The sequence below is a fragment of the Homo sapiens genome, chromosome 21 (assembly GCF_000001405.40).
Source record: "Homo sapiens chromosome 21, GRCh38.p14 Primary Assembly".
NCBI lineage: Eukaryota > Metazoa > Chordata > Mammalia > Primates > Hominidae > Homo > Homo sapiens.
Genome location: NC_000021.9, coordinates 29,632,860 through 29,659,265, shown reverse-complemented (window position 1 = coordinate 29,659,265; position 26,406 = coordinate 29,632,860). Strand labels below are relative to the sequence as shown.

General features: G+C 39.6%; 1 protein-coding gene and 1 long non-coding RNA gene across 14 annotated transcripts in view, besides 3 other annotated features; one reads left to right on the top strand and one right to left on the bottom strand.

Annotated features, from left to right (window-relative positions):
* The window catches only part of GRIK1 (glutamate ionotropic receptor kainate type subunit 1), a 403,064-nt gene that overhangs the window by 280,731 nt on the left and 95,927 nt on the right, over positions 1–26,406 (top strand). For all 13 annotated transcript variants that reach the window (NM_001320621.2, NM_001320618.2, NM_175611.3 and 10 more), the window contains 3 exons: positions 4,403–4,456; positions 7,975–8,148; positions 16,297–16,440. In NM_001320621.2, coding sequence (NP_001307550.1) covers positions 4,403–4,456; positions 7,975–8,148; positions 16,297–16,440 — 372 coding nt within the window. The remainder of the gene's footprint in view (positions 1–4,402; positions 4,457–7,974; positions 8,149–16,296; positions 16,441–26,406) is intronic.
* Positions 1,436–1,860, bottom strand: GRIK1-AS3 (GRIK1 antisense RNA 3). The gene has a single exon (NR_199598.1). It is a non-coding gene; the product is annotated as a GRIK1 antisense RNA 3 (long non-coding RNA).
* Positions 2,090–2,239: an enhancer, noted in NCBI's record as "active region_18350". NCBI's record gives its function as "activates an Ori minimal core promoter by ATAC-STARR-seq in GM12878 lymphoblastoid cells {active_cell/tissue: GM12878}" and the evidence as "EXISTENCE:reporter gene assay evidence [ECO:0000049][PMID:35858748]".
* Positions 7,846–9,045: an enhancer, noted in NCBI's record as "BRD4-independent group 4 enhancer chr21:31022541-31023740 (GRCh37/hg19 assembly coordinates)". NCBI's record gives its function as "activates an origin of replication core promoter dependent on BRD2, P300/CBP, MED14 and CDK7 cofactors, and independent of BRD4, by STARR-seq in HCT116 cells {active_cell/tissue: HCT116}" and the evidence as "EXISTENCE:reporter gene assay evidence [ECO:0000049][PMID:35650434]".
* Positions 19,355–19,434: an enhancer, noted in NCBI's record as "active region_18349". NCBI's record gives its function as "activates an Ori minimal core promoter by ATAC-STARR-seq in GM12878 lymphoblastoid cells {active_cell/tissue: GM12878}" and the evidence as "EXISTENCE:reporter gene assay evidence [ECO:0000049][PMID:35858748]".

Below are 26,406 nucleotides of genomic sequence, written 5' to 3'. Positions count from 1 at the left end.
AAAAATTATTTGACTTGTCCCAATCATGATTATTTGTTTATTTGTAATATCTTTATTCTATAAAGAATTGGAGCTGCCTGGAAAAATATATTTGAAACAAACTAATAAATGTTTTTAAAAGGGAGGGGAATTGGCACAAAGGAGAAAACTAGATAACAAAAACATAAAGCTGGATGACATTAGCACATGAAAAATGTATGCCCTGTGCTCCTGACTAATTGCCAATGGAAGACCCGTAATTTTGACCCTAAACCTCCTAGCAATCAAAACAAAGTTGTAAACAAGATCATTTACATGACTTGCAGTATTCATGTAACAGAAAAATGTATTTATTCAAAAATGAACAGCTTGTTCTGGCACTGATAACAATGCTAGTGATATTAGGGAACTGAGATCTCTGGAGAGTGACATATGTCAGAATCACCTCCACTTCATTGGCTAGAACCAGCACATACCCCCACCCAAGCCCAAGGGACTAGGAAATGCAATCCTAGTATGTACCCTTTGAGTTGGAAAACTGGAAAAACAGTACTAATGACGTCCACACTAGTAATCTTCCAAAATCAATAGATATTCCACACCCTGCCTATTTTAGATACATAATGTTAACAAAAGGGCTGGGTTGTTTTTAACTGTCAATCTAAGTCAATGATATAATGTCAAAAGTTGTTTAACAAGATTAATTCCATTAAGAAATGAGACTTGGCCAGGTGCAGTGGCTCACGCCTGTGATCCCAGCACTTAGGGAGACCAAGACAGGAGGATCACTTGAGGTCAGGAGTTTGAACCAGCGTGGCCAACATGGTAAAACCCCATCTCTACTAAAAATATAAAAATTAGCCAGGCATGGCGGTACGTGCCTGTAATCCCAGCTACTCAGGAGGCTGAGACAAGAGAATCGCTTGAACTCAGGAGGCAGAGGTTGCAGGGAGCCGAGATTGTACCAGTGCGCTATAGCCTGGGGCGACAGAATGAGACTCTTTCAAAAATAAATAAAAATAAAAAAAAGAAATGGGCCTTATTAGAAGAACATATTAGTGGAAGCAATTCGGAGGAATATGCTATCCATATGAACAGTATTGATATCTGCCTTTATTACATTTTAGTGTGTGTGACATGAAGTGTTTTCTGCCAAAAAAAAAAATTAATTGTGACAATTAAGTAAAGCCAGAGATGGTTCCTAGCAATACCGCCCTAATAAAGTATACATACTGCCTAGGTCAGCACCATTTGGTCAGTTCGGCAGACAAGTACTGTATCAAAATTCAAAGTCATTCTCAGGAAAAAGTAAGTTCTGCAAAGAACTATTAGAAAACTCCCTATATCGTGATTACACTTTTTATTTTTAAAACTGACATTTATTTTGATGTGACATTTTCTTAATCCCTTAATGACTTTTAGTTGAAATACCAACATGCAGAGAGAAAATCAAAATGGGAATGCAATCGTTTTATTTACAAAGTATGCGACAATTAGACGACAGGGCTACTGGTCTCAGCTGCTTAAAGACCATCACAAGAACAACTGCTTTAAAAGCACCGCCTTTGGTGCTGTTGACTTTGTTGTTCTTATCAAGATGTTTTTCATTCACCTGGGTGAGTGTCCACAAAGTTGACAGGCCAATGATCAATGACTGGACTCGTTTCTTAATTTCCATTTCTAGTAAATTCAAGGGAAGAACCAGGAGGCACTAATGCAAGCAATTAGCTAGGAAAAGGAACGGGAATTTTTCTACTACAGCAAATAAAATGTGTACCTGGAGGACCCCAGGGTTCTTTTTGCAATAACAGCTGTCCTGTTGGCTGTTTATTCGCTGCATTTTAATATCTCTTTCCTAACGCTGAGAGGCATGTCAAATGAATATTTACCTCCAGGAATTTTAAAATACAATAATAAAAATAATCAGTTAAATGGTTGTTTAAAAAAATGCTTATCTCTTAACAGGGGATCCAAAGCCTCCATAATGAAATTTAAAAAGAAAAATTTTACCCAAGTGAAAAGCTATAAACTCAAATGCCTTTGTGTTCTATTTTCAGTTTCAGAAACAAAATTTTAAACCTTAGCATTCAGCCCTATATCCTCACATGAAACCTGCCCAGTTCCCTTTCAAGAGGTAATCTTGGCTGCAATTACACTATCTAATGACCAAAGTGAAAAATAGGATTTCTGACTGACCCTGGCAGGCCAGCTCTTTATGCTCGAATGATATAAGAGAACAGCTAACAAGACCTCACCATGCATGGCCTTAAATGTTATTGATGGCACTAAAGCAAGTCTACCCTTGAAAAAAAACATCCTTTAGTGTGCCTGGTCTTGTTGTCACCGTAGGAGTGACTTATATCCTGTGGGCTGATGATTCATGGAGTTTCCTGTCATTTGTCTTAAGTTCATGACATTGCAATTTCACTAAATATTCCTCTGGTTTTCGTGTTAGTAGAGACGTTGTTGAGAAGTGTAGGACTGGTGTTCATGCAGTTATGTGCTGTCATCTAATACCCTCTTTATTTCTTATTCCCTTTCACGTAAAATCATTCTAGTTCACATATCTTAGGCACCTTCCAGAACCGCTGATAACTTGCAATGTCTTTCCCCAGACCTTTTCAATCCATCTCTTCAACTGAAGATCTGAAAGTCTTTGTTATTTAATGCAAAGGTACATGTTTTCCATAGAGCAGTGATTTTCAGACACAGCTGTGAAATGCAGAAATCAAGGCTACACTCTCAGAAATCCCAATTCAGGATGTCCCTGTGATGGTGTCTAAGAGTCTTTGATATAAAAACTTCCAGAGGGAATTTTTACTTGCATCCAGAATTGACCAGAGTTGTGCGGAAAACTACCTTGGAAATGTGATTTCTAAGTCTTCTCTCTTCATTTCTTTTTTTTTTTTTTTTTTTTTTTTTTTTTTTTTTTGAGTCTCGCTCTGGCCCCCAGGCTGGAGTGCAGTGGCGCGATCTTGGCTCACTGTAAGCTCCGCCCCCGGGTTCACGCCGTTCTCCTGCCTCAGCCTCCTGAGTAGCTGGGATTACAGGCACCCGCCACCACGCCTGGCTAATTTTGTGTATTTTTAGTAGAGACGGGGTTTCACCGTGTTAACCAGGATGGTCTCTATCTCCTGACCTCATGATCCGCCCGCCTCATCCTCCCAAAGTGCTGGATTACAGGCGTGAGCCACCGCACCCGGCCTTCTCTCTTCATTTCTATGCAAAGACAAAAAAAATAAAAATAAAAAAAGCACCCAAATAGTTATTTTGGTAATCTATCCCAAGGAAAGGAATATCCTTATTCATATTTAGAAAGAATTGTCTCCAAACCATTTGCATCTTCTTCTCAGTTGACACCATTTCCGGGACTCCAAAAGTAAGATCACAGTTCAATGAACGTAGAACCCCTGTCCTTCCTATCCACCTCCTTTTTTCCTTCTTCCACGAAGTAAAAACAATATACACGCTCACAGAATGTCCGGAACTATTACGATCCCAAGTAGTTATTTGAGAACCAGCATGAAGAAACAGTGTGAAATTGGTGTCAGAATAGTCCCTATCCTTTTATCTGTAAATGAATCCTCTCTTCCCCTTCTCATGGAAAAGGGGGAGAGAGAAAGGTTTCAGAGATATACTCATTCATAAACCTTCATTTAAACATATCTACATACCAGTATTGACAATTCAACATTTAATGAGTTCTACTCATAATGAGGGTGGCATTATGCTAAGTCGTAAGTAGGGAGATCAATGAAATACATATTTCTAAGTATGAGATGGCTCAGACACTTAGGCAGTGGGAAAGACAAAACCCTGTGCATTATGGACAACTCCAAATACAAAATTTGTTTAGTACAAACTATTTTTTTTTTTTTGAGACGGAGTTTCCCTCTTGTTGCCCAGGCTGGAGTGCAATGGTACAGTCTGGGCTCACTGCAACCTCCGCCTCCCAGGTTCAAGCGATTCTCCCGCCTCAGCCTCCCGAGTAGCTGGGATTACAGGCATGCGCCATCACGCCCAGCTAATTTTGTATTTTTAGTAGAGACAGGATTTCTCTATGATGGTCAGGCTGGTCTCGAACTCCTGACCTCATGTGATCCACCTGCCTCGGTCTCCCAAAGTGCTGGGATTAAAGGCTTGTGCCACTGCACCTGGCCCAAACTATTTTTAAATTTGATCATCAAACCCATTACTTCGATGTAGGTCAAGCAGTGTGTAATGGAAATAGTGTTGGCTGGAGGTCAGTTGGCTTGCTCCACACCAGCCACTCATTGGCCTCAGGTTTCTGATCTGCTGAGTTTGTGGATTTCCAAAGTCCCTTCCTGTTCTATGTTTCCAAGCATTTGCAGTCACCCTAGAAATTATCCCATTCTTATTATAATTCTGTTCCTGATTCTTTCCCCTTATTTCTCTTTTGCAGATTCTGTTCATGGGCATGATGACCGAGTACTATCACTACTTTTTCACAACCCTGGTAAGTGCATCTGGGAGAAATGTATTCCACATGGTAGGAAACGTCTTCACACAGTTATTTCAGAGTCGGCCTCACCAGTGTCAAAGGCAGGATATTGTCATGGAGACTTGCCTTACTTTCCTAAGAATCCTCTAAATCCAGCAATGCTGAGCAGCAGGCTTTTTTTCTTTCTTTCTTTCTCTTTCTTTCTTTCTTTCCTTCTTTCTTTTTCTTTTAACTAGTATCAATGCATGTGCATTCAGAGAGGGATTAAAATGAAAATTCCATTAAATAGAAACTATTAAAGTAAAAACTATTCATAAAAAACATCATCTACAATTTTTATATACATTAGAAGGTGTATCCAAGTGTGTCTGGCATTCATTGATTTGATGTGGCTTTGCTGCCTGTGTCCAGTAGATAGCTGGGTTAGCCAGGGGTTACCTGTCAGATGTCTGAAAAACCTTCAGAAAGGGGAGTTTTGGAGATGCTCTGCACATTGAACATTTTGCCTCATTAAGAAAAATCATGGTCCTAAGCCTTAGAAATCTAAAAGAAACCATAGGACATCTTAAATTTTGAGAGACTATCTGATCATGGAGAATGATTTAGGGTATTTAACACATCAAAATGATGTGATAATTTTCATTCAGTCAATTTCAGAAATCAGTGACAGCCCCCACCTCCCCACCTACACACTCACACATTCCACTTCCTTACATGAGAAGAAAAACAGAATCAAGCTCGTTTTCTAATCTGTAAGAGTATATTAGCTAAATTTGACCTGGATTCTGGGGGGGTCAGTAACAGTGCCATTTTAGCAAATTCAGCTGACAAGCTAGTGAGTAGGGGAATTCAAAGAATTTAGAATAAGGACCCGAAGTAGTAAATTCTATTTCTGACTCAAATGTCTTTGAGAGTGCAGAGGACATCATGAAATGAATGCTTTGGGACAGTTGTCAAAATCATTACTGCTACTGAGCATAGGGTGGAAGTGGGTACAGGGTAGAAATTCCTGAACTAAGGTTTGCATAGTCTTCCCATAGGGTGGAAGTGGGTACAGGGTAGAAATTCCTGAACTAAGGTTTGCATAGTCTTCCCATTTGCCTCTTACTGTTTCTTGATCATGTCATCCTTGAGAACAGCTGAGGGAAAACTTGAGAACTGCAAAGTGTCTTACTCTGCTTACAAATATGGTTCTTCCCATCACGAAGAACACCTGAGGGTTACTCAAGGTGACATGGCCATCTGCCTCGGAACTTTCTACCTCCTCCAGCTGTGAACACCCTGGAAGAGCTGGTGTGGGAGAAATTTGAGAAGGAATACGAATAATGGAACCTACCAAGGCTAGGAGACCATAGAGGATGAATAAATGTGCACTTTTATTCCTCTTCACCCCTAACACTCATTCTGCATGCACAAGGGGATGTAGCAAATCGGATTTTAGACTTCTGACATTCTTTGTTGCGTGGAAACCCTAAATTGTAGGACAACCTAATTTTGCACATGTTTAATGTATGTCATTTTAGCATGTTAAATCTATGTACTATGAATCTCTAAGAGGGTTCATGTGTATTCTGGCAGTTTCTGTCTTACCTCCTGAGACTGGACTTAACTGTCTTTCTATTCACTGAGTGTGCTACCGGACTCATTTTTGCCTGGGTCCTCTTCTTTAACTTTGCTTCTTTCATCCTTTTCCTCTGATTTTATCTGCATTCTGTCCTGGTTGGCTTTTATATTCTTACCATTCTTGCCCATGAGTATTAATAAAAGTTAAAGAAAAAAATAGTTACTTAGTGTTAAGGAAAAAAATATGCAATGCTTTAAAAGGCAGTATTGTACACTTTTCTGATACTGATCTCGGAGCACAGAGCTGTGCTCTTACAGTTCTACTGCCTCATCCAAATATATCTTGGGAAAGAGAGAGTTCATCAAAAGAATAAATTTGTATGCATCTTCCGCAAATGCAAATTGCGAAGTGTTTCTGAAGCTGCTGCTTTTCAGTACCTGTAATCATCAGGATAATGTCCTGTCTTGCAATGCACTTTCAGAAAGCGGTTGCATTGTTAAGAAACTTTTATGGAAGTATTTTTCCTGTTAAATGTTATCTTGAAAGTTGAGTTTCTTCTGAAATGTGATATATTTTAATGATGTATTTTTAAATCTAGTCTTTTCATATAAGAAAAAAGTTGAAATTATTACATAACCCTGTCTTAAATGTGAATCAATTTAGAAACTTCTGGTTTACACTCAGCCTCATCTGTAATAGAAAACACCAGGATGAGTTCAACTTTTTTTCCTGAAACATTGTCTGCAAGGGAATGGGTTCCCTTATTAAGATGTTCTTGCATCCATGTAACCTTGTGCTCTAGTATGTCCTCTGAAGAGCATCCTTTGGTACCTATTCTGAGCCTATGTTCAGCGAACATTCTTCATGCCCTCGTTGTATGAGATATGAGTTCTTTTCAACAAGCCAGGAGATGATTTTTTTTCGGCCAGGAGTGATTTTCCTGCCAAATGCATATGCAGTTTTCAAATTTCACTTTGTGGCAAGACCTGGAACAGCCTGGGGTGCAAGATTTGGTGGAGAAGAGTGGGTACTGCCAGTGGTTCATTCTTGTTCTGATCACATCACCACTCAGAACCTCAGTTTCTTCATCTGTAAAATAAAAGCATTGAACCAAATGGAAATAAATATTCTTCAAAATACCCCAAAGGCTATGAACTGGGAACAGAATTCTTAGCTTTTTAGAATGTTACATCCTGTGCCCAAGGACATACTAATTATCAGCAGCCAAATTCCTCCTCTTGACTTATCTAAACTCTAACAGTACTGCAAAAATAAAACAGATGAAAATGAAAACTGATTACTGCCCTAGAATTTTTAGGGCAGCATGTTAATGAAAAACAATGGGAAAAATGTTCTTTTATTGAAATAGTGTGGTACGGCTGCCATTTTGTTTTAATCTATAGCAGCTCCCCTTTATCCAATGGGTATATGTTCTGAGACCTCCAATAGATGCCTGAAATCTAGTATGGTGCCAAACCCCATATAGATTATGTTTTTCCTATATATACAAACCTAGGATAAAGATTAATTGATAAATTAGGCACAATACTCTTGCAGACTGGAACCATTATGAAGTATAAGGGTGACTTAACAAAGCACTTCCATACCACGATACTCTACCTCATAACTGAGACAGCTATTAACTGACTGATGAGCAGGTGGCATCTGTAGTATGGAGACTCTGGACAAATAATTCATGTCCCAGGCAGGACAGCATGGGACAGCTCAAGATTTCCTCATGCTACTCAGAGTGGTGTGCAATTTTAAAATTATGAATTGCTTATTTCTGAAGTTTTCCATTTAACATGTTCCAACTGTGGTTGACCGCAGGTAACTGAAACCATGAACCACAAAACCACAGATAAAAGGTATCATTGTATTAGTTGGTGCTACAATCATTAATATTCTTTTGTATAAAAAATGAAAATTCTAATTATTTTCCACTGTTATCCTTTTTGATACTATGCAGGACTTATTTGCTTTGGATCTGGAACTCTATAGGTACAGTGGCGTAAACATGACCGGGTTTCGGCTGCTTAACATTGACAACCCTCACGTGTCATCCATCATTGAGAAGTGGTCCATGGAGAGACTGCAGGCCCCACCCAGGCCCGAGACTGGCCTTTTGGATGGCATGATGACAGTAAGTCATTTTCAAATAAAATCATTTGCAAGAATATTTGAATGCCTTCGGGGTTAAGATCTCACGTATCTTTAAAATATTAGAGAAAAGTGTTACAGTGGGTGCCTTGACTTGCAGTAGAGAAGAAAGAGTTTGCTTTTTAGGTAATTTGAAAGGCTGTGACTGGCTACTAGCAAAAACTGCTACTTTTAGCTTCCTGGATGTACTTGCCCCAGATAAAAAACTTGACAAGAGTAATCACCATTATCAGCCAAACCAGTGCAAGGACAAGTGAAGAGCATTTTATTCTAGGAATGTGGCTGTGGGGAAGGTGGCTGGTGGGGGAAGAGGAGGAACAACCTACCTGTGAGTTTTGCAGAACCGATTTGTGTTCCTCACTTCTGCCACATTTCAGCAAGCAAAGCCAGTGTGGAAAAATGTCGGATTTACAAACAGTCGGTGTATTCAGCTCTTCCTGTCCTGGATGCGTATAGGTTCACCTCTGCAGAACTGACAGTGTTTAACACCAGCCATATGTCGCTCTTGAAGCAGATGCCAGACCTGCCTCCTGACAAGTCAGAGATACTCTGCTGAACAGATACATTGCGAACTGCCTCATCAGAGAGCTTCTCCCTAACATCATTTGTCTCTTGTCAAATGCACCTACCTTCACTATATTTCTCTAATGAAGCTCCCTGGGTGCTGAAGAAAATAGCAGGAAATAATTTTTTAAAATGCTTCCTATATGGGAGCCATCTAAGGGGAAAGATATTGTGGAATGCAGGCAGGTAATAGCATTTTAAAATGGCATAGTATTTTATTATCCATTCCTATCATCGGGAGACGCACTCTCGCTTTTAAGATGCAATTTACCCAACATCTCACAGAGAACTTGGGATTTTTTTCCCCTTTTTCTTATGAGGAACAAATGAAAGTGAAGAACTAAATGAATGAATTAAGTGGTTCTGGATGATTCTATGTTCAGGCTCCCTAACTGTTTTTCAAACCTGAAATAACTTTTAAAATATTCAAAGTGAACTGAGAGATAATGATGGAAAGCATCTTGGTACAAATGAGCCCTGGGATGATTTGAAACATTTCTTTGAATAGGAGCAAGTAGAGAATATCCAGGGAAATATTATATTTCTGAAAGGGAGAGGGAACACCAGAGACAGAGGGAGAAGCACGCTAATAGATCGGTTTTTCTCTTCTTCCTCTTGGGTTTATAATTTCAATGAGTTCAAATATGGTTCGAAATCCTCTGCCCACTTTTCCAATGAAGTTTCAATCACAGGATGAGATCTCAAATCATTTTTACCTGTGTTTGGTATATACCACTAAAAGAGTTACAGTTTGAAGCTATGTTAACACAGACTGTGGACTTATGCCAAACATTAAATATTCATCACAAGTATGGCTTAATTTACAAAGAAAAAAAGTCTGTGTGTTCAATTATACTGAGCTGACAAAACAGTTTGTACATATTGACTGAAATGAGGAAGATCGTTGAACAAAGGAGACAGACCTACGCAATTCATGTGGAATCAGGCCGAGCGTGAGGTGAAGCTGCTATCCCAGGGCAGCAGCTGGTGTCCTGAGCTAACGGTAATCCCCTGGGCAGGAAGTGTGATAAGGTTGAGTCCCAGTGGATGGAAGAGGTCCTGGTCTGCCTGAAGATTTTTACTGTCATCCCAACTAAGAGAGGGGTTTCTAGACTGTGTTCTTACAGTTATTATTATAATTAACTATATAAAGGAAAGTGGGGATTTACCAGAGCAGAAGAGGGTAGCTCACTAAGGTGCTGCAAAAGTGGGTAGAGTAACTATTGAATATATCAGGTCGTGTCAATACTAATTTTTTAAAAAGTGATAGGATGCAGGCCCCAGTATGAGTTGTATCCAACAGTCATGCAGATAATAACTTTGAAATTATGTGAAGCGTAACATTTACCTTTTTTTATCCAAAGAGTCTGCTTTGCACTTGACTGTTTTCTTTCTGTTTCTCCTGGATGTGGCTACTTTGGGAATGTGGAAACTGTGTCATGGGAGGTGAAGGGCATTGAAGGGCACGAAAGGACCTCCGTTTGATCAATAGCTAAGCCAAGAGAGCAAACTTATGACCCCAAACCCAGGCCCAAAGCTAACAAATCTTTGCTGTCAAGTTGCCTCTATTTAAACTCTTTCTTCTCTACGTTAAAGATAAAAAGTCCTTTGGTTTCAGTTTCATTGGGTCCACATCGCAGACCCTGCCCTTCATTCATTCTTGCACATCAAGCACTTGCTGTCCCCCTGCCTTGAAGTCTCACTTATCCAGGCTACAAAATGCCACTTCACCAGACAGAGCCTCCATGAATCACCATCTAGTACAGTAGCCCCCTCCCTGGTTTTTCTCTCTTTCTTCTTACCTGTTTTTGTTTTCTTCATAGCCCTTATGACCTGACGTGTTATATTTTGATTCGTTTGTTCAGTACCTTCCCTACAAGAATAGACACTTCATAAAAGTGTCTTTTATGAAAAAGAGGCTTTGTGATTTTGTGCTTTGCTTTCTCCCCAGCACTAGAAAAGGCCCAGTGCGAAGTACACCGTCAATAAATATGTATTTAATAAAGAAATTAATGTGCTAAATAAATAAGAATTAAGCTTCTACTAAAACTGAAGATGTTAAATGAAAAATATTTAGGCAGCCTTGAAATAGTCCCATAAAAGTGCAGAGAGTTCCTATAAACAAGATATATGTGAATGTGCATGATTAGTAAAATAGAGATTACTTTAAAATAATAGTGTTTTTTTAAAATTAGTCACAGACTGGCCACTCTTAATATTTAAATAATGCTACTACTATAATAGAATTGAATTCTCTGAAATCATATGCTTCATTCCACTATTCTTCAAGGTGAATTTCTCTGTAGCTGTTTATAGTCATATTGGTATGTGGTGCATACATACATGGATGAATATAGGAATTAGAAAAAAGCATAAGGAAAATGCATGTGTTTTGATTTCCCATTCAATTGTCTATTTTTCTCTCTAATATTTCTAACTATTAAGCATTTCCTAGAATTTCATACACTAAAAATCCTCAAAAATATGATTATATCAAAACATTCAAACCTGAAAATAGAGAAATCAGTCATGCCTATATCCAAAAAGTCTTGACACCAGACTTAAGAACAATAGAATTAATTAAAGAAAAAAATTTAGTTTAAAAATTAGGTTAAAATTAAGTTACTAAGAAAATTGTTACTGAGTCAACGGAGTTGAAAAACAGTAAAACTCGTTATTAAAAAATATCTTGAGAAAAAGAAAGAGTGTTTTATCAACTGAAGTGGTAATTGACAGAATTAACAGAAGTTTGGAGTGATTTTTATAAAATCTACTTTGTTCTCTTTTATAATGTTTACATTTTTCTCAGCAATTGGGCTGATTCGACCTTTCAGCTTTTGGATAGACTGGGATAATACAGAATGGTTCATTCTCAAATGGGTCCTTCTCAGTGGACCAAAATTGTGTATGAGTCAACACTGCACAGGAGTCAGGGGAACAACCAAACATTGATCTGACATCTGCCTTTCCAGTTCTTCATATCCACTCACAACATAAACTTACGTCAGAGCCTTATCCTGCTCTCTTGCCTGTAAACATTTCCCTTAATCATGACCCACAGGGAAGACGTCATAGAGTTCCCACTTTGTACATCCACTGCTACTCCAGCGATGAAAGAAAACAGGCAGCTGGATTCAGTACAGAAAGCAAAATCTTCCGAGATAATGAAAGCCTAGGGTTAAGTCCTGGTTATGTCTCCTAACTAAGTGACCTGAACAAGTCATTTAACCTCTCTTAGTTTGTCTGCTCATCCATAAATCTGTACAATAACACCTTACAGTGTTACTCTACAGATTAAATTAGATCACATATGCAAAACCTCTAGTACATAGAATTGAATTTACTTGATGATACCTGATGTTTTGCCCATTTGTAGTCAATAAAAGAACAAGAGGCTGGGCACGGTGGCTCACACCTGTAATCCCAACACTTTGGGAAGCCGAGCCAGGCAGATCACAAGGTCAGGAGTTCGAGACCAGCCTGGCCAACATGGTGAAACTTTGTCTCTACTAAAAATACAAAAATTAGCTGGGCGTGGTGGCAGGCGCCTGTAATCCCAGCTACTCAGGAGGCTGAAGCAGGAGAATCGCTTGAACCAGGGAGGCAGAGGTTGCAGTGAGCCAAGATTGTGCCACTGCACTCTAGCCTGGGCAATAAGAGCAAGACTCCTTCTAAAAAAAAAAAAAGGAAAGAAAGAACAAGAGATATTCTGAAATATCATGGCAGAATCCATGTATTTCCAAGAAACACATTCCTTAGCTTGCACATATAGCCCAAGATGGAATCTTATCTGGGACCTATATGACCCTGTGTGATCAACCCATTTGATCTCTGAATATTAGGTCTCTCTTCAGCACCCCAATCTCCTCCAGCTTTTTCCAACAACAATTATACACCATCCAGGCAGCTAAGTATGGGGACTTTCTAAGGCCATATAGTGTCGTCAGTCCTTGTCTCTAAGATGAGGTGGCATCTGACTGGCTTATGTTCAGAGTCCTCAAGACCATCTTCAGATTTGATGACTTGCTAGCAGGACTCACAGAACTCAGAAAAGCTGTTATACTCACAATGACAGATTTATAGCAACAGACGATAGAGTAAAATCAGCGAAGGAAAAAGTGACAGAGAGTCCACACAGAAAAAGCATGAACTTCCAAGTATCCTCTCCCAATAGAGTTGCATGAACAGCACTTAATCCTCAGCAATGATCTATGACAACTAGAAAGTATTGCCAACCAGGGAAGCTCACCCAAGCCTTGGGGTCCAGGTTTTTTATTGGGATGATGGGTCACATAGGCATGGAGCTCCCATACAGCTGGCCTTAGTTACTTAGTAACCAGCCTTTTGGGAGATCAAATTGATACAGCATGGCCCAGAGACCTAGGCCAGCAAAAATAGGCATTCATCATAAATCATGTTTTTAGCATAAACTATCTGACATTGCCCAGGACCCAAAGAATACAATGACACTCTTATTGGGATATTCCAAGGAGTTAAAAGTTATCTCTCAAGAGCCAGTCAAGGGGCCAATCTTCTCTTTGGAATGTGCAAGGTCTGAGTACCCTAAGCCTAGTGAGTTAATACTTTACTGCAAATTGTAATAACCAAAGCATTGTGTACTGAGGAGAAGTATGCTTTCAATGTGCTTATTTCATGGTTCAGATTGTGGTAAAAAGATTTTCTTAGGGTCATTGAGCAATGTGATTTCATCCAGGCTTTAGATATACATAAAATGTGAACAGAAACACATTTGGAAGAAGAAAATTTGAACACAGGCCAGTTTCTATTACATTACCTATTACCTAAAATGATGACAGTCATTCAGTAAGCAGGCCTCGAGCACAAAACTGAAAGGGGGAGGAAAATCAGTGGTAGTTTATTAGTGCTATAATATAGTTAATGTAAACATTTTCTCCATCTAAGAAAACATTGTATTTCAAGGGGTAGCATATTTTTTCGAACAAATAGTTTTCTTCTTTGGGTTGAAGGGCACAAATTAGACCTATAATTTTGAATCATTTTATTGCCTTTCCCAATATGGAGCCCGCCTTGAGAAAGAATGCCCATCCTTTCTAAACTAAGTTTATGGAAAAGTCAGATTATTAGAATTCCAGTCCTTATACTTCTCTATCAAATTGGTCATTCAGCGAATTAATGAAAACACATACGAATTTTCAAAAAAGTATATCCTATTGATAAGAAACAGTCCAAGTCACTGTAGCATGTGGCTATGGTCATGAGGTGAAATCTGAGTTTGCATCACGAATTAGAATTCTCACTCTTTCCCTTAATGTCTACAAAATTTTAGGCAAGTTATTCTACCTCTCTACAAGCCTCAATTTCCCTGTCTGTATACCTATTTCAAAAGTTTAATTTCAGTAATTAAAAAAGATGACATATGTAAAATGCTTATAGTGCCTGGCACATAGTAAATTATCAGTGAATATTAACCTTTATTGAACTATTATTGTGACTATTAAATCATCAGACCAATAACTTGGTGTAGAAGCAGCACAGCTTTATGGTTAACGGCATATACTCTAGCACCAACTTTGTGGGTTTGAATATTGCCTGTCCCCCCATGAGTTTGGGGATCCCATTTAACATCTTTTTTCTTTATCTGTAAAAGAATAAAGGTTATAGTGAAAATTTAATGTTTGCAAGGGATTTAGAACAGCATGCGACATATCATAAGTGCTCAATAAATGTCAGCTATTGCTGTTGACTGCATTTCCAAAAGTCTCAATCTGCCAGTAGCTTACTTTCCTCCAATTAAACAGAATTAGTACAGCAAAGTGGTAAAGATCATGGGTGCTAGAATCAGGCAGGTGCAGGCTCAAACCCTGGCAATGAAATTGATTACAGAGTAGCCTTATACCGGTCAATTTCCATGAGCCTTAGTTTTCTCATCTACAAAGTGGATAGTGTAAGTCCTGAACTGAAATGATCAAAACATTTTTAAGCATTATAAATTACTGCCACCACCAATCCAACGTCAGTATGTCAATTACATAAGCATGAATGAAATGCTTTTTCTTAAAACTATATCTTAAAACCTTGCAATTCTACAGTTCTCACAAAAATAAATGTCATTTTAAGGAATTGAGTAGTATTAACTTCGTCAGTGAACATGTTTAAACAACTTTTCTGTGTCAGGAACCATGTTAGTCACCAAAGCTAACTTAAATTTGAGCAGTTTCTGCCTTCAAAAAACCAATATTCTTAACAAGATACAGACATAAAGATCCATGACCATGAATAGATGGAAAATACAATGATAAAGATTGAACAGAATAATAATGATTCAAAGTAGAGGTATTCCGTGACCTCAAAGACTGATAAAATTGTGAGATATAGTAACCCCTGTCCTCACTTTCTACCTCCACCAAGACATGAGCAATCAATGCATAGTATATGTTGAATGAATCAACCAATTTTGGAAAACCATATGATAATTTTCATTCTATGACCTAGATTCTAGGTTTAACTCTGAAAATGATTAGCTATGTATATAATCCCTATTACTCTCCAGAAATAATAAGCAGAAGTAGTGACATCTCTGGGATTTCTCACTATGATTGTGTATGTGGTGTGTGTGTGGCTGTGCATGTGTGTGTGTGTGTGTGCATGTGTGTGCCCCTCCACAAATATCCTACCTCGAAGTGAGTTTTCTCACATAATAAATAGCTTTATCTCTTCTGCTTATTTTGAAGACTTGTTGAGAATTTCAAATGAGCTAATGTATTTGAAGTTGCAATGAAACCCTCAAGTGAAATGCAAGGGTATTATAAGATTTTATCCCTAAAGGAAACCACAGGGAAGCATATTTTATAAAATGCTGTATTATGTAAAATTGTGCAAGTGAGAGGAATTTCATGAGGAAGGGAAGAACGAGATGCCCAACCCCCTAAAAGGAATGACCGACTTGTTTCAATCTCTCTCAAGAAAGCACATGCTGGCAAGAGGAGGCATGTTCTGAGCAAGCTGCACTTGTCTGCCCTTCAGAGGGTCTCCCAAAACTTGCCGTTGAGTTTCATTCCATGACTATGAACTTCTTAACTCTGCTAAATGAAAGTGACCAACACCAGTATCCTTATCTGGAAATCACCTGTTAGTGATTGTAGCAGTTTCTTTCTACCAAATATAAACCAGTAAGTAGATAGATAAATAGATATAGACAAATGCTGAGAAACAAATCTGATATTGCAACTTTGAGCTTTAGTAGCTTCTAGCTCAAGGTAGTTGATCTTAACACCATGCTTAACATGGAGGACACTTCGCAAAATATTTGTTCCTTGAATCAAGTCTTTTGTGGCTGATCTGGGTTGCTTTATTTTTTTTTAAAGAACTTGAAACGAAGCAGAGTTATAACTTCAATTTACTCCAAAGTGTGAGGTATTATTTTGGAGAAAAATAGCTATTGGAGAGTGAAAACTACCTAGCTGAAGAGTAAATGGCCTTTGAGATCAGACAGATAAGAGCTATGGAAGCAGGGAGAGTGATTATGCAAGTAAAGGAAGGTAAGCAAAAGTGGAATTTAAGATGCGGTGTGTGTTTTCCTCCACAGACTGAAGCGGCTCTGATGTACGATGCTGTGTACATGGTGGCCATTGCCTCGCACCGGGCATCCCAGCTGACCGTCAGCTCCCTGCAGTGCCATAGACATAAGCCATGGCGCCTCGGACCCAGATTTATGAACCTGATCAAAGAGGCAAGTGATGCTCCCTCACAGCCCAGGGGCCCTTCTGAGCACTGTTGGGCTTGCCCATTTGGTATGGTCCTCCCCACAGGGTTCTGCTGGCATGATGCCCCTAAGAGAGAGGAAGCCATCATCAACCAGTCTGCTCAGATTTCAGTGTCAAAAGTTTGTCCAGAAGGACTAGCAGGAATTTTCCATTGTGATGCTGAGAAGTTCAGTGACGCTACCAGATACCAACACTTACTCTCCTTCATGCCAGCCATGGCCATAGCTCCTGCTGGCTCTCCACACATGTCCATAAGGGCATATGGGTGTTTCTTCCATGTCCCACTGAGTCAAGGGGAGAGTTGATCCATTACTGAAGGGTACCAGAGATAGTTCCAGCATTATCAGTCCACAATCCCAGTGGCCTCCTAAAGCTCAGGCTGTACAGGACTGAGTGGAAGGACCTCTTTAATTATATAGTGACTATTTTGTCATTTATCAGCTAACTGGAAAAGTTTATTCCCATTCAAAACCTACTGAGCACATAAAAGATTTTTGAGAGTATGGGGTATTTGCAGGGATAGATATCTTCACTGATGTCCTGGGATCCTGGACTGTCCTCCACCTTTTCTTTTCTCTGAGGCAGTTTGACTCCTTGTCACAAGGCCCTGTTCTAAGCCCCGTGACTCCTTATCGATATGTACACTGCATGATCATCCATTCCACCACGAACCTCAGGGTGTGTCTGGACTTGATGATAAGAAATAAGGCTCTTTGGAGTAGCTAGGCCTGAGTATGCGCAATGCTCTGAGATGCTATTCTAATATTTCTCTATGGGATACAGACATTTAGTTCTCAAGTGAAGAGTATTTTTTTCCTTTCTGTACTGGAGAAGGATGGAAATATAGTGTAAAGAAGAGGGAGGGCACAGGAGAATACCCAGCTAAGAGTAAGGAAAGACACCTGCTTTGGACTCGTGTCTCTGCTGGTCTCTTCCATGCCTGCACACCCTCTCTCAGTCTGTTCAATGCAACTAAAGGCTGACTCTGATCCATGAGGGTGAGGATAAAGCAGGCGGGATGTATAAGGATTAAGTACCTAGGCTACAAATCTAGGTTGCTTGCAAGCCCAGGATGAGGGTGCAATTTAAGGAAACATTCATTCTTGGGTGAGTATTCTATACTTGCACAAGATTAAGAGGAAATTCTCGCTTAAATTTTGTACCCTGAGCACCTCTCTTACTTTATCCTAGTCCTGGCAGTGACTGCATGGGTTTAAATCTTAGTTCCACTAACACTGATGAGCAATATAACCTGGGCAAGTCTATTGGTCCATTTTCATGCTGCTGATAAAGACATACCTGAGACTGGGTAATTTATAAAGAAAAAGAGGTTTAATGGACTCACAGTTCCACGTGGCTGAGGAGGCCTCACAATCATGGCGGAAAGTGAAAGGCATGTCTACATGGTGGCAGGCAAGAGAAAACTTGTGCAGGGAAAATCCCATTTATAAAACCATCAGATTTCATGAGACTTATTCGCTATCACGAGAACAGCATGGGAAGACTTGCCTCCATGATTCAATTACCTGCTACTGGGTCCCTCCCACAACACATGGGAATTGTGGGAGCTACAATTCGAGATGAGATTTGGGTGGGGACACACCAAAACCATATCAGCAAGTTACTTACACTTCTTGTCTCTCAGTTTTCTTATCTATAAGATGGGTATAGTATCATCTACCCCACAGCATGACTGTAAGGATAAAGAATTAGGCAAATGCTTGTGAAGAATAGTTCAGAAACCTAGTAAGCATCTGAAATACTATTCTCTTGCCATTGGAAGGCACCACTAAGAATAGCCTCATTCAGTTTACTGAAGATGATACCAGGAATTTCAAACTGGCAACAACAACAACAACAACAAAGACATCACAAATAGGCATGAAACAAAATACCTTTTCTGACAGCTACATAACTCTGACACACTGTGCCTAATAGAAAAACATCACACCACCTCCTTTTCCCTGCAGTGATCATGGTTGTGTCCTGAATCGCCATCCTGATTACCTTGATCTTTAACAAGAAAACAGCTGGTTTTCTTTTATCTCCTAGAAGTTCAAGGAGAGGCAGAAGTGACATGAAAGCTTGGGATCAAACACTCAAGAGCCCCCAAGACACCTTATCACTTGTACTTAAGTCGCATAAGAAGGTGAAATTACCAAGCCACATTTAGGCATATTTAAAGAAATAATGAGCTCCAAGATGAGGGACCACACTGAAAATAAGAAGGCATTTTATATTCATTCACTCCAAAGAAGCAAATCTCTCATTTTTAATCTCCACAGTTAGGGGTTACAGGAAGGGAGGGGGGAATGAATCAGAAACCATTGTCAACATTGTGCTCATCCTCTTTTGTCTCCTGAGTCAGGATGTCATATGCTACCTTTGGCAGGGTGTAGGTACCTACAGAGAAGATGGAATGGGGTAACCAGAAGCAATGCCTCAGCCTGCTGGAGGACTGGCACTGAGGAAATTCTGAGACAACCTAAAACATGCAAAAGAGAAAGTGCACGTGTTTTTTCAGATGAGTGCATAACTGAACAAAATTTTGCAAGTATCAGGTTTCATTAGGAAACATGAAATAAGGAACTTGGTCCCCAAATTTCCCCCGCTGCTTCTTTTTTTTTTTTAAGTTATTCTCACTTTGTAAAGAAGTTCCAAAACTAGAGTCAGAAAAAAAAAAATGAAAAGAAGCAAGTCAGCAGATTGAATTTATGGGGTGAAGACCAAATTCATCACAGGAGGTAAACTTCCTGAGCAGAGGTTGTTGCATGTGCGGTAATTTCTGATAACTCCACACACTGTTGGGAATCAGTAAGCTTTTCAGACACATGTTTCCAGCTCACTGCCTTTCAGTGTATGGGGCTGACTAGATAAAGGGGAAGAGTTAAAGAACATATGAAACATGATAGAGTATGTTACTATGTTAGCTCTCCGAGCATTTGCTAAACAAATGCATGCTAGGAGATTATACATTCCCACTCAACAAGCATTACTGGAACTCCACTACATAAGTAATATTAACTTGGCATCTTAAGGGATAACACCCTTGAAAAGTAGAAGAGGTGGCTTCTGCCACCTAGTAATGTAAATTCTACATGGCAGAGGATTGACACGCTTCATTAAAGCTTTTTCTTATACCTCAGGATAAAACATACACTCTTCAGCAGGATATACAGGCTCATGATCTTGTTCCTGATCCCTTTGCCAGCTCTCTCATCTCCTGCTCCATCTGCAGCACCTGCTGAACCTACTGTGGCTCCCTTGAATATGCAATATGCTCCTACCAAATTATTTTAACTCTGATTGCAATGCCGTGCTCCTCTGGGTCATGCTTTACGTCTCAACTCAAGCACTAGCTCCTATCTGCAGGACCCTGACTCACAGATGTAGGCTTTGTACCTCCATTACAACTGTGGGTATGCTATTGTGTTTGTTTCCACGTCTATCTCCAAGCTATGCGTTTTCAGTCTCAATTCCCTAGTTCTTGCACAATGCTGGACATAGAATAAGCACCCAATAAATACATGCCAAACAAGTGAATGAATTGATGAATGAATTAATGAATGAATTAGCAAAGGAACCGAAGAACACACACAATCTATAAGCATGTGCAGTGCTTCAGGACACACTGTGTTCATAAAAATCATATCCAGAAACAATTCAATAAGACAGAGTCAGGAGCTGGACTAGACCTGTCCACCAGGGCCATAGGTTTCGATAGGAGAGTGAGGCAGGGATTTAGGGAAAGACCAACCTATTTAACTCTGGTGCTGGGAACACAGATTCTGAGATTTCATCACACTTTGCTGTCAGTGTGAACTTAGTCAAGTCATTTAGCTTGTTTCTCAGTTCCTCCTTCTATAACATGGGTAATAAAATGCCCACACCATAAGTTTGTAGGGATTACATATTTTATATGTATAGCCTAGCAAAATATTTGTCATGTAGTGATTGTTTAATGAAGGATAGCTACCATCAAATGAAAGGTTCTGTTAAAAAATGAAAAACAGTTTTCCATTTTCAAGAAAAGGAAGTCTATTGGAGTAAGATTGCAGTTAGATTAACACCTTTTCTTGAAATGAACTTACAGAAAAAATGTACATGTATAATTCAGTCCACTGTATCCTCCTTTGAACTAGTTTTACCTGCTTGTTTTCTCATGCATAAATATTTATGTTTCTTTGACATATTTATGTGAGGATTATGTTTTTAATATTCTAACATCACAAAGTAGCCTTTTGTTTCTGTATTGCACTTTACGGGTAATTGTTATTTTGCCACCTCTTTGTACAACTGATATGGTTTGGCTTTGTGTCCCCACTCAAATCTCATCTCGAATTCATATCCTCACGTGTGGAGTGGGGTACCCATAATCTCCAAGTGTTGAAGGAGGGAGGTGATTGGATCATGGGGGCGTTTCCCCCATGCTGTTCTTGTGATAGTGACTGAGTTCTCAAGAGATCTGACGGTTTTAGAAGGGGCTCTTCCCCTTTCGCTTTCTCCTCTCTCTCCTGCTGCCATGTAAGACATACCTACTTCCCCTTCCGCCATGATTGTAAGTTTCCTGAGGCCTCCCCAGCCATGCAGAACTGTGAGTGAGTCAATTAAACCTCTTTCCTTTATTTAAAAAAAAAATGTCTACCATGTAAGGTAGTGGTCAGGAAAAATAAGGCAACACCTAGGAAACATTAAGTATATTGCCAAACATATTATAAGCACTGCATGTTTCTTATTACTGTTATTGGTGTCATCATTATTATTATTGGAGTCATCATTATTATTATTGGAGTCTAGGATAAAGTAGCAGTTGTTTGCAAAATGGAAGACAGTACCTAGTGGTGGAAAACCGAAAGTTCCATGGAGACAGGCATGCAGCATGCAGTAGGCCAACTGCAACGAAGCCAGGAAATGAGGACTTTCAATCATAGACCACACACATGATTGTTCAAGAAAGGTGAAAAGACATTAGGCAAAAATTCACCTCAACCAAGGCTGAGTTTCTTGGTTCGTTTGGGCTGCTGTGACAAAATACCATAAACCAGGTGTCAAATAACAGCAGAAACTTACTAGTCATAGTTCTGCAGGCTGGGAAGTCCACTATCAAGGTGCTAGCAGAATCCGTTGTCTGGTGAAGGCTGGCTTCCTAGTTCATAGACAGCTGTCTTGCACTTTGTCCTCACATGGTGAAAGGGGCAAGGAATCTCTCAAGGGCCTCTTTTATAAGGGCACTAGTGCCATCCATTCACCTCCCAAAGCCCCCACCTCCTATTACCATTGTCTTGAGGGTTAGAATTTCAGCACATGAATTTTAGGGGTAAACAAACATTTGAACTACAGCATGAGCTACCAGAATACCATAGCAAGCTGCTTCTCAGGTCAGTCTGGGAAATGGTAGCTGAATGTAGGGGCCGAGGAAGCCAAGAATTACGCTGTGTCCAGATTAGGTTCCAGCTGGATATAGGACAATCAGTGGAGCAGCTGTGGTAGCAGCAAGCACTGAAGCATCTGGAAAGAAGAAGGTTTCTAATCAGGGGTGCTGGGAAGAACAGTGAACAGAGTACAGAACCGGGAATCAGAGATCTTACGTTACATCAGTTGTCCTTAGTTATTTTCTGGGTCACAGTGCTTCTATTAAAACTGATTTAAACATAAATCCATTGTCCCCCAAAATGCAAACACATTTGTCTATAATCTCAGTGGCCTTAAAGACACCCTGGCTTCCCTAAAACCCACATTCAAGGTGCCTGAATTGAGTTTTAGAGTAGAATTTGGTTGAAAGGGCATTCCAGTATAATGAATGGCAAATGTATAAATGAAGCATAAGGAATCCTGTTGGGCCCAGATGGAGTGATCCTATGTGGAAGCAGTGAAAAATATGTTTAAGTAAATGTGGAAAGACAATTGGAAGTTGTCTGCTAAAATTCAAATTTGACTGATAATTGATATAAAAAAAAAGCCACTGTTTTTGAGGCAGAGACAAAACGAAGTTTCAGATAGTTTATCTTGGTAGCTATGTATAGGTATGATTGAAGCAGGTAAACCAACAAAGATTAATGTGGACAGAATTGCAGATGTCTTGGTTTAGAAGTGATCACCATTCATAAAGAGCTGAAAGGGAAACAGATTTATTCAAGAGAAATATGCAAGTGTTTATTTGAGTACAACCCTAACTTTTCCCCTAAGTTTAAATTCATCCAGTCACCTCCCTTCTGGAAATTTCCACTTGGTGATTCTGCTGCTACCTCCATATCAACAAATTCTCCATCAGGATATATTATTTTTTTGCCTGTTAAATCTATTATTGTTAAAATAGCTCCACTGTCAGATAACGACAATGCAACTGGTATATCAAACAAACACAACTACTGAAACAGCAAAGCCAATTCTATTTTTAATCTCCCCTCCTACTTAAAATTATTCAGTAGAATGATCTGGGCAAATCTCATGACTTTTTTGTTGACTTAAGGTAATGACAGTCCTAGAGCTTCCTTATGTTAAAGCACAGCCTCAACTTCATGATTAGAATATCCAGTCTAAGATATTAATCAAAAGTCCAAGTTGATTTAACATCAAATACCTCCCCTCTCTGAGACTGATCCTTCTGGAAGACTAGTGACATGACGGAGGGGGGATGAATGCCTTCTCCTCTTTCTCCTTTCCCTGTTTACTTCCTCCCAACTCCTGTGGCTGTTGTGCCTTCTACTAGGCTCAAAAATAAACAGGACAGATCTCGCTGGGCTGGGCTGCTCTGTGCTTTCTGGGCTTAGCAGACAGTTTAAGATGGTGTCCCTGGTAGGCCTGGGAGATTTCTGAAGCTAATTCTTTTTCTTGAAGCATTTCCTTTTGACTCTATGAGTTCCTGTTTGACCGTCTCTTCTGAAGTTTCTTTTACTCATTGGGTGATGGATTCCTATTTCAGTGGAAGCTTGCACTGTTTCCTCAGCCTCTTGACATCCAGCAGTACACCTCATGCTCTCTCTGCTGAAGCCTCCTGACCCCTTTAGACAGTCCCATTGACTATAACCCAGGACATTCCCACAAAGTATGCTGGATTTAAATCTGGTGCACAGGAAACACTCACTTATTCCTTTCCTGGAAATTCTGGGGTTGTCTCTAATCCCAATGCAACCAACTTCTCCCTGTCAGCCAAAAAACCAATTGGTCAACTCTGGTTAGCACTCTTTTGTCACTCGGGAGTCACATCACAGTCTGTAGTCCACTTTGCCTTTCTCACATTTATATCAGTCACTGGTCTTCTGCGTCTTCAGCTGCAGTGAACCTATTTCAGACTTCTCTTGAGTGACCCCCTGGAAGCTCTATTCACCAGGAGTGGTGTTAGAAAGTGGCATCCCAAAGACAAGACTGGGCAGTGTGGACACACAGAGAGACAACAGCTGTCCCCAGAGAAGTCTCTTCAGCAATCACCTCTACCACTCTCGTGACCTCTTTTATGTATGCTTGATTTCGTAGTTGGGCCCACAAGATCTAGAACCATCTCTGGAGAACACTTCCTTTATACTTATGTATTGGGAACACTGAGGGTGTCTGTCTCCCACTCTGGTGTCCTGATACCCATTTTACTAGTACCTGAGTGAAAGCATTACAGTACGATGGAGCCTGCCACTCAAACCATAGCTCTACAGGTTATCTAAGACCTCATCCCCTCAGTACACTCATCTGATTAAGTCCTGTCAACTGTCTGTCAGAGATATTTTTTCTCAACCTTCTTTGCCCACTGCCCTCATCATTTTTCACCTGGACTGTTAAAATAGCCTCCAACTAGGCTCTGTATCTTTAATCTCAGCCCTTTTGTAACTATTGTCCACATATAAGCAAAGTGATATACATAAATGTGCAGTAGGTATTCTACCCTTTACGAACACAAACTTGCTCATAGCTTCCTGTGTCCACCATCCAGTTCCATACAGAGTGGAGACAGATGGCTTTTTGTTTTCCTGACTAAACCTGCCTAATAACACCCTTTTTGTCATATACCTTTCAGCCTGCCTGCAAAGCCCTACCTCCCATTTTTCACTTAGACCAACTCTTAGAATTTCTTTTCTCTAGAAAGCCTTTCCTGAACCTCTGCTGGAGGGTGTATCCTGCTTTCAACTCCGTAGCTCTGATATATCTTTATGTTAGCACTTAACATGCTTCACTCAGCACCGTAAGATCTTTCTGTGGGACAGAAAGTCAATTTATCTTTGTGTCCTCAGAGCACCGTGCCTGTACACGGCAGGCATTTTAAAAGATGCTTATTGAACTGAAGCCAGAAAGTTAAATTCTAGCAAATTCTTAACACATTTTGCTAAACTAATACTCAATTTTAAACTATATAAATAGTTCCTAATTGATCTGCTCCAAAATAAATTTACTGCATAAGAATGAAAAATTATTTCTAAATATCAGTGCTTATGGGATGTCACTGAGAGGTATATGAAATATGGGCAGTTTTCTGCCACTGCTTTGCTATGAAAAATGTAATTTATGGTTCTATTTTGATGAAATGGAGATTATACATTTGAATATATAAACCTAATATTTGAATTCAAGCTTTTAAAAATCAAAGAGTAAAAAATAAAATTATTCATTTAGGCACCTACCTGTGCTTAATATTTGTTTGGATTTTTACTTAGTAGGTCACTATGGAGTGGGGTTTTTGTTTGTTTGGTTGGTTGGTTGGCTGATTTTGTATGGGATCTGGGTAAAAAATTACAGTATTGAAAATAAAAAAGTCCCTGGTGAAACGTAAGCTCTGACATATTTTTATCCTACTGTGTCTTCACTGAGTAACACTTCCCATTAATGCATGCCATTTGATCTCGATTGCCAGGACAAGCTGTTTCTTAGTTTAATTAGATGACATTGGGTCTGGCAGCAACCTCAATCAAATTTCTACTCTTCAGAAAAAATTTCCATTTCTATTTCTCATTCTGCACCTCTTGAAAGTTAGCTGCATTCTGACCCCTCATTCTTCAGCATCCCTAGCTAGTCTTCACTGTGTAAAAGAAAGCCATAAATCCCAGCAGCCCCTCACATTTAGGATATTTAGACCTAAGGAAGAGTGGGTTTTTAGGTCCTTCCCTCAATTCCCTGTACAACTCTGGATGGATAAAATAGATTAGTTTCTAAAGGTTCATCGTTTATATTTTTACCAATTACATAGGTTTTGTCTTATATATAAACATCTTAGTTTGTTTGCATTATAATAGCACAGCACCTGAGACTGGCTAATTTATAAAGAACAGAAATTTATTTATTTATTTATTTATTTTTATTTTATTTTATTTTAGAGACAGAGTCTCACTCTGTCACCAAGCTGGAGTGCAGTGGTGCGATCTTGGTTCACTGCAATCTCTGCCTCCCAGTTTCAAGCGATTCTCCTGCCTCAGCCTCCGAGCAGCTGGGACTACAGGCGTGCGCCACCACGCCTGGCTAATTTTTGTATTTTTAATAGAGATGGGGTTTCACCATGTTGGCCAGGATAATCTCCAGCTCTTGACTTCATGATCTGCCCACCTCAGCTCCTAAAGTGCTGAGATTACAGGCGTAAGCCACGTGCCCAGCCAGAAATTTATTTCTTACAGTTCTGGAGGCTGAGAAGTCCCAGATAAAGGTAATAGCATCCAGTCTCTGGCGAGGGCTTTCTTGCTGTGTTTCCACATGGTGGAAAAGCAAAATGGCAAAAAGGGCCTAGCTAATTCCCTCCAGCCCCTTTATAAGATTCCTAACGCCATTCATTAAGGCTCCAGCCTCATGACTTAATCCTTTCCTAAAGGCCCCACCTCTTAATACTGTGGCATTGGAGATTAAGTTTCTACATGAATTTTCAAGGAGACAAAAGCCTTTGAACCACAGCAATAACTAAAGCACTAAGACACCTATTCCTGAAATAGTCAATCAGTGGCTGGGTGAACAGTCTCCAACAA